The 12213-nt window shown below is 41.5% G+C and overlaps 1 protein-coding gene across 2 annotated transcripts in view; it reads right to left on the reverse strand.

The window, feature by feature from the left end:
• CKAP5 (cytoskeleton associated protein 5) overlaps nucleotides 1-12213 on the reverse strand; it is a 103233-nt gene that overhangs the window by 40879 nt on the left and 50141 nt on the right. For both annotated transcript variants that reach the window (NM_014756.4, NM_001008938.4), the window contains exons 13-17: nucleotides 11668-11850; nucleotides 6544-6657; nucleotides 6150-6260; nucleotides 4755-4847; nucleotides 562-747 (exon numbers count right to left, since the gene is read on the reverse strand). In NM_014756.4, coding sequence (NP_055571.2) covers nucleotides 562-747; nucleotides 4755-4847; nucleotides 6150-6260; nucleotides 6544-6657; nucleotides 11668-11850 — 687 coding nt within the window. The remainder of the gene's footprint in view (nucleotides 1-561; nucleotides 748-4754; nucleotides 4848-6149; nucleotides 6261-6543; nucleotides 6658-11667; nucleotides 11851-12213) is intronic.

The following is a 12213-nucleotide window of genomic DNA, read 5'->3' on the forward strand; positions in this document are numbered from 1 at the left end:
AACTCCTGGCCTCAAGTCATCCTCCTGCCTCGGCCTCCCAAAGTGCTGGGATTGCAGGTGTGAGCCTCTGTGTCTGACCGAATATTTTTGACTAAGATGAATTTTCATCACTAGGCAATAGAGTATTTTTTAAGGTAAAAATAAAAATGCAGTATCAAAGGGCCGGGCATGGTGGCTCACACCTGTAATCCCAGCACTTTGGGAGGCCGAGGCAGGCAGATCACCTGAGGTCAGGAGTTCGAGACAAGCCTGGCCAACGTGGCGAAATCCTGTCTCTATTAAAATTCAAAAATTAGGCAGGCGTGGTGGCAGGTGCCTGTAATCCCAGCTATGCGGGAGGCTGAAGCAGGAGAATCACTTGAACCCGGGAGGGTTGCAGTGAGCCGAGATTGCACCATTGCATTCCAGCCTGGGCGACAGAGTGAAACTCCATCTCAAAAAAAATGCAGTATCAAAAAAGATTTTACTTGAGAAGATAAAAACTAATGTTTAATTAGTAAGCTTAAAGTTTGGGGGAAAAAATTGGGAAAACTAGAGGAATAAGACTTCTGTGTCACTAACCTGTTCAGCAGTCCATGGTAACATACAGGCTTCGGCTATTGCTGTCATAGCTTCTTTTGCATTGTTCCCACATTTCACATCTCCAATCTTGTCCACAAGGCCATCTAATACAACCTGAGCTGACGTTTTGGAAAAATTTCCCTTCTGGGCAATCAAAGCAACTATATGAAGCTTCATTTGCATCACCTGAACAAGGATCAGTATCATAAAGCTAAGAGCAAGCCAAGGACATTTATTTATTTACTTGTATTAACAGCATGTAACAGATATGACATGGTTAGGGACAGCTGGAAACACAACTAAAGTAAAATCAGGATTTTAAACAAATATGCAAAATAATTTGTATCCTTTAATTGTTACCAATTACTTAACTGACAGTGAAGAGAGGGAAAAAAAGCTACTCAGTGTTCCAAAATACTAACAAGTAATATTGCACAGAAAGTTTATTAATTGAAAAATCTGATTTTTAAATTTTCCTCCTCTTATGATTATTTGCATTTAGTACTGAATACACACCCTAAAATACACAATAAATTACTATACTGACTGCATAACTGAGAATTACTACTAGGGCTGCCTACAAAAACACTACAACCCTCTTATACACACATGCAACACAGAACTTCAGAGATTTTAGAGAACTTGTTGGCTTTTAAGTATAAGAATAAAAAGATCTGTGGAAAATAATTTAAAGATATTATTGTGATGGCAGACCTATGGGATTAAGGACCCCTTTGCTCATAAATATTTTTCTTTGTACTGTGTGAATATTTTAACTTTTTTTGTTACGCCACTAGAAATCCTATTATACAGATTAATTTAGGTGACAAATACTCCCATTTATTTATGTATTTATTTGACAGAATCTTGTTCTGTCACCCAGGCTGGAGTGCAGTGGTGAGATATCAGCTTACTGCAACCTCTGCCTCCTGGGTTCAAGCGATTCTCATGCCTCAGCCTCGCAAGTAGCTGGGATTACTTACAGGCGCCCGCCACCACGCTTGGCTCATTTTTGTATTTTTAGTAGAGATGAGGTTTCACCATGTTGGCCGGGCTGGTCTCGATCTCCTGACCTCAAGTGGATCTCAAGTGGGATCTCACCTCAGCCTCTCCAAGTGCTGGGATTACAGGCGTGAGCCACTGTGCCCAGCCACACAAACATCCTCTTTTAAAATGCAATTATCGCCTGGCTCATGCCTGTAATCCCAGCACTTTGGTAGGTTGAGTCGAGGGGAATGCTTGAGCCCAGGAGTTCAAGACCAGCCTGGTCAATATGGAGGGACCCCAGCTCTACAACAAGTACAAAAATTAGTTGGGTATGGTGGCCCTCGCCTGTAGTCCCAGCTACTTGGGAGGCTGAGGTGGGAGGATCACTTGAACCCAGGAGGCTGAAGCTGCAGAGAGACATGTTGACACCACTGCACTATCTAGCCTGGGCAAGAGAGTGAGACTTTGTCTCAAACCCCCAAAATTTGACATAGCAGGCATGTGAAAAAATAAAAATTTAAAAAATTAAAAAAAAAATTCCCAAACCAAAAAACAAACCAAAGAAATGTAATTATCTTGGGTGGGACTTCTGCAATTGTGGAGTCAATACCTCTGAAAAACTGATCTTCCTCAAAAGCAACAAAGAACACTGGCAAAAACTATCCAAATCAACTTATCTCACAACTCTGAAAATTAAATAAGGCTTGTAACATACAAGAACCATTTAAAGAAAGGATGCTGAATTTTAGTAAGGACAGTGAGGTTTCTGGTGATTTAACTTGCCTTGCTCCCCTTTTCTTCCAGCTCCACAGTAGCCTTCAAAACCTGAAGTCTTGTAACCATGGCAACTATGAAAACCTAGAGCTGTGCAGCCACTGGCAGGTGGGGGGACAGCTCAGGTTTGGACCTCCTCAAAAAGTTTTGACCCAAAGTACTGTCTTGTCTGGCAGCTTCCTAGAAAAGCTCCATTTGAAAGTCCTGTTATTTGACTGGACTCTGGCTAGCTCAGTGGGAAAAGCCCTATCCCCAGGGATTTTGTTGAAAACAACGAAAACAATGAGTGGCAACTGTTTAACATCTAACATCAGAACTGTGTAAGTCCATAATACCAGCTGGGGGAACCCAGCTTGGTCAAAAACATAAAAGGACCTAGGGAATAAGATATCCACAGAGGACTTTGAGAATCTAGAAGGTCATGCGAATATTCAAGGTTATGTGTATGCCCAGGAAAGACTGAAAAGGGCCCTAATCTCTGACTGACCTTCAAGACCTTGCTTAAAAAGTGAATTCCAGGGTAAAGCTGTAAAGTGCCTGAGTATCTCTGGCATGACCCAGCGCGCACACACACACAAACATACACACCTTCCCCCTTGGCAGAGGGTGGGAGACAGATCACATTGGTTCAAGGCATTTAAGAAAATCTCTCCAGTCATTAGCTGGTCATTAAGTTAACCAAGGAGAGAGTCTTTGGTGGCTGAAAATCAAAATCACAATGAGATTACACTTCATACTGTCTATGAATTTGAGAAAAAAATTAGCAAGGTGTAGTGATGCACGCCTGTGGTCCCGACTACTTGGGAGGCTGAAGTGGGAGGATCTCTGGAGCCTAAGGTGTCAACACTGCAGTGAGCCACGTTTGCACCACCACACTCCAGCCTGGACAACTGAGTGAAGCCCTTTCTCAAAAAAAAAGAAGGTGGTGTGAGAGGAAGAGGGCACCTCAAGAATCTTTTAGAATATTTAGCCTTTGTGGAGCTGGCCTATACGAATAAGGTGCTATGTAACACAATGTAAGGGACACACAGTGTATGAGGGAGCTAAACATCCTAGACAGAAAACAAGAGGTGGCAGCAGAAGAGAAACCAAAAAGAGACTAGCAGGATGCCAATAATAAACCTGATACATTTCAAGTTTGTTTAGCATGAGGTCTATTGTATGTACATCTAGAAAAAGAGAAGGAAACTTTTTCTCATTTTCCTTCCTGCAGCACTTTCCTATACTTCCCTCTATACCCACCCCTTAGACTAATAACTTGGTACTGCTAAATTTCAGCTCTATTATCAGTTAATGGGGCTATACAATTGATTATGTGGTAAATTTTCACTGGCAATTTAAGGACTGCACTTATTTTTTATCCTATCAAATAAAAAAGCTATCTCACTGTTTATTTCTCCCTTGAATATGTAAAGATTGGATAAGGAGGCTTCTAGGCCTAAAAATGAGAAGAAAAAAATGTATATATCTAAATTATACAAATTATATATGGATGTATACATATTTACATATTTATACACATATAAATTCCTAATTATATAAAGTTATACAGTTGACCCTTGAACAACATGGGTTTGAACTGCGAAGATCCACTTATGCATGAATTTTCTTCTGCCTCTGCCACTCCTGAAACAGCAAGACAAACCCCTTTTCTTACTCTTTCTCCTCCTTCAGCCTATTCAACATGAAGATGATGGGAATTGAAGACCTTTATGATGATCCACTGCCACTTAATAAATAGTAAATATGTTTTCTCTTCCTTAGGATTTTCTTAATCACATTTTCTCTCTAGCTTACTTTATTGTAAGAATACAATATACAATACATGTACCATTCAAAATATGTTAACTGACTATGTTATCAGTAGGGCTTCTGGCAACAGTAGGCTATTAGTAGTTAAGTTCTTGGGGAGTCCAGAGTTATATGTGAAGTTTCAACTGCACAAGGGGTAGTACCCCTAATCACCACATTGTTCAAGAGTCAACTGTAGTTATGTGTTCAATCAAAATGCACACACCCCATTGTTCATTAAAAATCATTACCAAGCTGGGCGCGGTGGCTCACGCCCGTAATCCCAGCATTTTGGGAGGCCAAGGCAGGCGGATCACCTGAGGTCAGGAGTTCGAGACCAGCCTGACCAACATAGAGAAACCGCGTCTCTACTAAAAATACAAAATTAGCCGGGCATGGTAGCGGGTGCCTGTAATCCCAGCTACTCGGGAGGCTGAGGCAGGAGAATTGCTTGAACCCAGGAGGTGGAGGTTGTGGTGAGCCAAGGTCGTGCCATTGCACTCCAGCCTGGGCAACAAGAGCGAAACTCCGTCTCAAAAAAAAAAAAATCATTACGAAAACTATTCTGCTGTATTACTCCATAGGATGATGTAATGTAAATTACTTCAATAAAAGACATCAAATCTCACATTTTAAAATACCTGAAAATTAGTTTCTTTCCATCCAGGTTTCTTGGCTAGCATCCTCACTAATGCCTGGCATGGCATTTCAGTTCGGTCCATTAGCTCAACAGCCTTGAAGTAAAATAAGAGAATAAGAGTTTAAGGGTTAAAGGTTACTTCCAAAGGAAGAGTAAATACCAAAGTCAAGTAAGTGGTTACCTCTGAAGAAAGGAGTGGAATAGAACTGAGGAGGGTTATTGAGGGAGCTTATATAGCTTCCGCTGTTATGCTTTATTTCTTTGTGTTTTTATGTCTATAATGCTTTATTTCTTAAGCTAGATGCTTGGTATATGGCTGTTAAATTAGTATCACTGAACGTTTATCTCACATTTCAGGAATTCACAAATAGTTTGCTCCATGCAAAATAATAGTTTTCATTTGCCTAGTGTGTGGCAGAAACTGCTTATATGTATTTTCTCTTCCTTGATTTTCCTAAAAACAGCAAAGCAGAATAGATTTGAAGTTCTAAAGTACCGAATATCAAAGATGCACAAACTCAGATCTAAACCCAATGGGCAGCAGACGCAGGACTAGACGGCTTCTGCCATAAGTGACAGTGCTCTTGCAGTGTTTCTCCTTACCGTTCCTCATTAGAATCACCCGGTATATGCCAAAATGAACTGCCATGCTCCTTTACAACACAGGTTTTTGAGAGGTTTTCATACCAATGGATAATGTCCATTCTACCAAGGAATCATGATGATAAAGGGGAGAAAAAGTACTGGATGAGGGGTGGTTTAAGTAGAGTGACCTATTTGCCTAGGAAGTTTATGAGCAAGTACCATAGTTAAAAAATTAATCTAAGCTGGGCTGGGCTGGGCACAGTGGCTCATGCCTGTAATCCCAGCACTTTGGGAGGCTGAGGCGGGCGGATCACGAGGTCAGGAGATCAAGACCATCCTGGCTAACATGGTGAAACCCCATCTCTACTAAAAATCCAAAAAATTAGCCGGGTGTGGTGGTGGGCGCCTGTAGTCCCAGCTACTTAGGAGGCTGAGGCAGGAGAATGGCGTGAACCCAGCAGGTGGAGCTTGCAGTGAGCCAAGATCGCCCCACTGTACTCCAGCCTGGGCAACAGAGCAAGATTCCGTCTCAAAAAATAAAAAAATAATCTAAGCCTTATAATTCAGAATAAGAATCTAATTTTCTTAAGTATTAAGTCATGAGCTTATAAAGGCCATAGAATACTGATGTTTAAAGATAGCAAACACTACACAGCTACAAGAAATAAAAAGTCCCACCTCATCTTTAATGCCATAAAACGTGTTCACCGGTTATAAAACACAGCAATTAGGACAAATCCTTCATTCATCAATTTCGCTGCTTCCATATAATCTAATTTTCTTTCACACTCAATTCTTCCCTATGCACTACCTTCTGGAACTCTTCCATACAAGCCAGCCTTTCTTTCCAGTTACTGCTGTCAAGAAGCTGTATACAGGTAGGGGGAAGAACAGCTGAAGCTTTTTCTTCACATACTTCTATCTGTAAGATACAAAAACATATTAGAATTAGGAATTGCTTAAGGGAACAGATGACAAGAACGTAAACATACTCCAGCCAAAACTAAAAGAATACTCCCATAGGTATGCTATAGTTTCTGAGGCTTCTATTATACTTTGATAAAGGAGATTGTCCAAGGCAGTTTCAATAAGCTAAAAAATATCAATTAACTGTACGTTGTAGAACCCAGCAAAGAACTCCAGTCTTCTCATTGGTCTCACTTTGCAGGGTTCATGATTTTCAGGCTCAGTGTGTTAATACTGACCGAGAGCTCAGGCTCCACTATTTCTTTAGTCTCCAGTCCTTTCTTGTTCTTGGTTCCAGTATTCCCTGCGCCTCCTGGTGCAGCTGGTTTCCCCTTTTTTGGTGGCCCACCAGCCTAAAAACAATTTAAAAAATAAAAATTAAACCACCTAAGGATTTAAAATAGTGGAGTTTTTTATTTTTATTTTTTTTGAGACAGTGTCTCATATTGTTGTCGAGCCTGGAATGCAGCTGCACAAGCTCAGCTTGCTACAGGTTCAACCTCCTGGGCTCAAGGGATCTTCCTTCCCACCTCAGCCTACTGTGTAGCTGGGACCACAGGCGTGTGCTACCATGCCTGGCTAATTAAAAAAAATTTTTTTTGTAGAGACAGGATTTTGCCATGTTGCCCAGGCTGGTCTCGAATTCCTGGCTGCAAGAGATCCTCCTGTCTTGGCCTCCCAAAGTGCTGGGATTACAAGCATGTATCACTGAACCCGGCCTAAAACAGTGGTTTTTAAACTTTTATTGAGTCACACACTCCCTTAAAAATTTGATTAAAATGAGGGATTACCCTAAAATAAACATTTTTTGTACCTACAAAATTTAGCAGTTTCAAGGTCAGACAGAAGCCCTGAAGACCACCCATGGGGTAATCTGTAGACCCCATATTAAAAACTTGAATTTAGAATTAATGAGATAAATGAAACAGAAGTGATGGCCTGAAATTATACTACATTTACAAATTAATTTGAGAATGACATCCTGATACCTTTATTTTTTTTACATTTATTTGGGTTTTTTTTTTTTTTTGTTTTCTGAGACAGGGTCTTGCTCTGTCATCCAGACTGGAGTGCAGTGGCCTGATCACGGCTCACTATAGCCTTGACCTCCTGGGCTTAAGCGAGCCTCCCATCTCAAGCAGCCCTCCCATCTCAGCTTCCCAAGTAGCTGAGCACAGTAGTTCACACCTGTAATCCCAGCACTCTGGGAGGCTAAGGATCCCTTGAGCCCAGCAGTTTGAGACCAGCCTGGGCAGTATGGCAAAACCCCATCTCTACAAAAAATACAAAAAAATTAGCCAGGTGTGTTGGTGTATGCCTATAGTCTCAGCTACTTGGGAGGCTGAGGTGGGAGGGCTGCTTGAGCCCAGGAAGTTGAGTCTGCAGTGAGCCATGATCATGTCACTATACTCTGGCTTGGGTGGCAGAGTGAGACCCTGTCTCAAAATAAATAAATTCATTCCACTCCAGTTTTCAAAAGTCCCAAGATACAAAAGCAGAATATGTACGGGGGAAAAAGTCACAAGAAAGTAGTATATTACAATGTACACAGCAAATGATAACTGTATTATGGCAACACACATCACCATTCACATTGTTCCTTGTACCTATTTTGGATATTTGTTATGAAATGCCCCAAACCTAAAAAGAAAAGATAAAATGAAAGGGGATCAAATTAGTCTTCAACATCCAGACCTGTTCTGAAACTAATGTTATCTTGAATATATTCCAATATTGTAAGTTGTATTTAGCAAAACTAAGGATACTAGTTTTTAACTAAATGGAAACCTGTAATACTTACCATGTCATATCGACAGTATGGTTTTGCTGGTTCACAGTAATAACCCCATAAAAGGATTTGCATTCTAACCCTAAAAATGGAAAATTCTGTACTCTTTGATTAACTAGGATACCTCTTCTGGATCTTTCTCTGTAATAGCATTCTCTATATGGAGAGATACTTCAAATAACAAATCTACTATTCTTTTTGTTGTTGTTAACAGACATCAATTTTTATTTATTAATTGACAGATTTATCGAGGCTGGGCATGGTGGCTCATGCCTGTAATTCCAGCACTTTGGGAGTCTGAGGCAGGCAGATAATTTGAGGTCAGGAGTTTGAGACCAGGCTGGACGACATGGTGAAATCTCATCTCTACTAAAAATACAAAAATTAGCCAGGCGTGGTGGCAGGTGCCTTTAATCCTAGCTACTCGGGAGGCTGAGGCAGGAGAATCACTTGAACCAGGGAGGCAGAGGTTGCAGTGAGATGAAATCGTGCCACCGCACTCCAGCTTGGGGGATAAAAGGAGACTCTGTCTCAAAAAAAAACAAAAACAACAACAACAACAACAAAACCAACCAAACAAAAAAGACAGAATTATCATTCTACATGATAGCTGGCTCAGTGGCTCACGTGCTGCTGATATTGTCCTACTTATCTTTTTCAGAATGGGAATAGAAGGAGGTTGCTCCCAGCATTTTAATTTTTAAGATAATTCCTCATAATAAGAGAAGGTCAGCCAGCATGAACATGGAAGGGTTTAAAGAGGTAAGAGGCAAGTGGGTTACAGCAAGAAAATCTGGACACATCTTTTAAGGTTTTGGGTCCAGGTAATTGTCCAGAGAAACAGGAACTAGTGAGAAAGGAGAAAATAGCTGCCGATTTCCTGTTCTAGAATGCCAAGGAGACAGCATAATGTGAAAGAAAGTAGAGTCTGTAACTAGAGGTACTCAGGGTAAATCCCAGCTCTGCCACTCTACACATTCCACAAACAGATACCCGGTTTCTACTATACGCCAGAAACTATTCTATGCATGGAGGATCAAGCAGTGACAAGATCTCTATCCTTTAAAAGCTTACAATATGGTGTGGGGATACAGTAAACAAAACAATCAAATCAACAATAAAAATATCAGAGCATGTGTAGGACACAAACTCCCTGAGTCTTAGTTTCATTTTTTGGAAAAACAAGGATAATGAATACCTACCTCAAGAGTTGTTACAGTGATTAAATGACATTATAAAGGCAAAGTGTTTCATAAAATGATGCTCACTAAATATCAGTTCTCTTCCCCTAACTCCATGCTGAGTGGTTCAAGATGGGGCTGGCGTGGGGAAGGAGAGTTAAACTTTTTGCATCTGCAGCAGATAACTCTCACTCTTAAGAGAGTCCACAGGACACATGCTCATTAAAAGAATGCCGTAATTGCCACTAGGCATTTGCCCCACTTCTACACTGTACAAAGGTGTAAACACCTGGACTGGCATGAAGACTCAGTGATGTGATCCATCGGCATTATCAGTAAAATGACCAATTGGTATTATTAGTTATTAATGTTAAGTGTGTTGCCACATTTTATTTCATTATTTAATGATACTTTCTGATCCTTTAAAATATACTCCTCCTGGCTGGGCGCAGTGGCTCATGCCTGTAATTCCAGCACTTTGAGGGGCTGAGGCAGGCGGATCAACTGAGGTCAGGAGTTCGAGACCAGCTTGGCCAACACGGCAAAACCCCATCTCTACTAAAAATAGAAAAAATTAGCTGGGCATGGTGGCAGGTGCCTGTAAACCCAGCTACTCAGGAGGCTGAGAATCGCTTGAGGAGGCTTGAACCTAGGGGGTGGAGGTTGCAGTGAGCCGAGATTGTGCCACTGCACTCCAGCCTGGGTGACAGTGCAAGACTCCACCTCAGAAAAAACAAAAAAAAAATACTCCTCCCTTGCATATGCAGTAAAATGATTTTTGACAAGGGTACCAAGGCGGTTTAATGGGGAAAGGACAGTCTATTCAACAAATGGTGCTGGGAAAACTGAATATCCACATGCAAAAAGAATGAAGTTGGACACCGTATATAAAAATAAAGTCAAAATAAAGACATAAATGTAAGACCTAAAACTATAAAATCTTTAGAACAAAATAGAGGGCAAAAGCATCATAAGCCTGGGGGCAGTGGCTCAGGTTTGTGATCCCAGGAATTTGGGAGGCGGAGGCAGGAGGATTCATTGAGCCTAGGAGTTTGAGACCTGCCTGGGCAACACAGTGAAACCCGTCTCTACAAAAATATTAAAAAATAAAAAATCAGCTGTGTGTGGTGGCACGTGCTTCTGGTCCCAGCTACTCAAAAGGCTGAGGTGGGAGGATTGCTTGAGCCTGGGAGGTATGCTGTGATTGTGCCATTGCACTCCAGCCTGGGGAACAGAGTGAGACCTTGCCTCAAAACAACCCAATTCAAAAATGGGCAAAGAACTTGAGTAGATATTTTTTTCCAAGAAGAACTATACAACTACAGATTGCCACCTGCACATGAAAAGATGCTCAAGGCCAGGCTTGGTGGCTCATGCCTGTAACCTCAGCACTTTGGGAGGCCAAGGCAGGAGGATCACTTGAGGCCAGGAGTTCAAGACTAGCTTGGGCAACACAGCGAGGCCCTCTATAAAAAATTTTTAAAAATAAGCTGGGTATGGTGGCAAGTCCCTGTCATCCTAGCTACTTGGGAGGCTGAGTGAGGAGGATCACTTGAGCCTGGGAGTTCCAGGTTGCAGTGAGCTATAATCGCACCACTGCCCTCCAGCTTGGACAACAGAGCAAGACCTTGTCTCTAAAAAATATAGAAAATAAAAACAAAGTAGTCAAATTCATAGAAACAGAAAGAAGGGGCTGGAAGAAGCTGAGAATGGGAGGATAGTTAATTGATTCATAGAGTTTCAGTGTTAAAACATGAAAAGCATTACGGCAATGGATTGTGGTGATGCTGCACAACATTATAAACATACTTAATATTAATGAACTGCACATTAAAAAGTTAAGACAGACCAGGCACGGTGGCTCACGCCTGTAATCTCAGCACTTTGGGAGGTCAAGGCGGGTGGATCACCTGAGGTCAGGAGTTCAAGACCAACCTGGCCAACATGGCAAATTCCCATCTCTACTAAAAATACAAAAATTAGCCTGGCATGGTGGCACGTGCCTGTAATTCCAGCTACTGGGGGGCTAAGGCAGGAGGATCACTTGAACCTGGGAGGCGGAGGTTGCAGTGAGCCAAGATTGCATCACTGCACTCCAGCCTGGGCAACAGAGCGAGACTCCATCTCAAAAAAAAAAAAAGTTAAGATAGTAAATTTTATGTTAAATTGACAAAACACACTTCTGTGCCTTCATCACCATTTTTATCTCTATTAAAGCTCCAAACAGCTGAATTTATTGCTGGAATATCCTATCTTCATTAACAGATTTTCTGCTGTATTTTTAATGTGGCCAATGAATTCATTTCTCAAACAAAATAATTTTAGAGGAACAACCACGAACCTGAGACTCAGACCCTTCCTTACTAACTTCTATTTTTAAATAATCTATTAACCTTAGCAGCAGGTGCCTTTTTTAGAGGTCCTGGTTTGGGTGCAGAAATGTCCTTTGTGTCCTTATCTCCTGCAGCCCCTGAAGCAGCAGTCCTTCCAGGCAGAGGTTTGAATTCCTTCTTATCAGCAGCTAGTCCAGCTTTCTTACCATGTATCAGTTCTACCTTTTCTGAACATTCTTTGATCTGGAGAATGAAAGTGAGATGAACATCATTAAGCCCAACTTTGAAACACAACCACTACGTTATTACATTTCTAAACCACAACTACACATAAGAATTCAGAGAAATGGCCAGGCAAGGTGGCTCACACCTATAATCCTAGCACTTTGGAAGGCCGAGATGGGTGGATCACTTGAGGTCAGAGGTTTGAGACCAGCCTGGCCAACATGGTGAAACCCCATCTCTACTAAAAATAAAAAAGTTTAGCCGGGCGTGGTGGCAGGCGCCTGTAATCCCAGCTACTTGGGAGGCTGAGGCACGAAAATCATTTGAACTCAGAAGGCAGAGGTTGCAGTAAGCTGAGATTGTGCCACTGCACTCCAGCCT

The sequence above is a fragment of the Homo sapiens genome, chromosome 11 (genome assembly GCF_000001405.40).
Source record: "Homo sapiens chromosome 11, GRCh38.p14 Primary Assembly".
Classification (NCBI taxonomy): domain Eukaryota; kingdom Metazoa; phylum Chordata; class Mammalia; order Primates; family Hominidae; genus Homo; species Homo sapiens.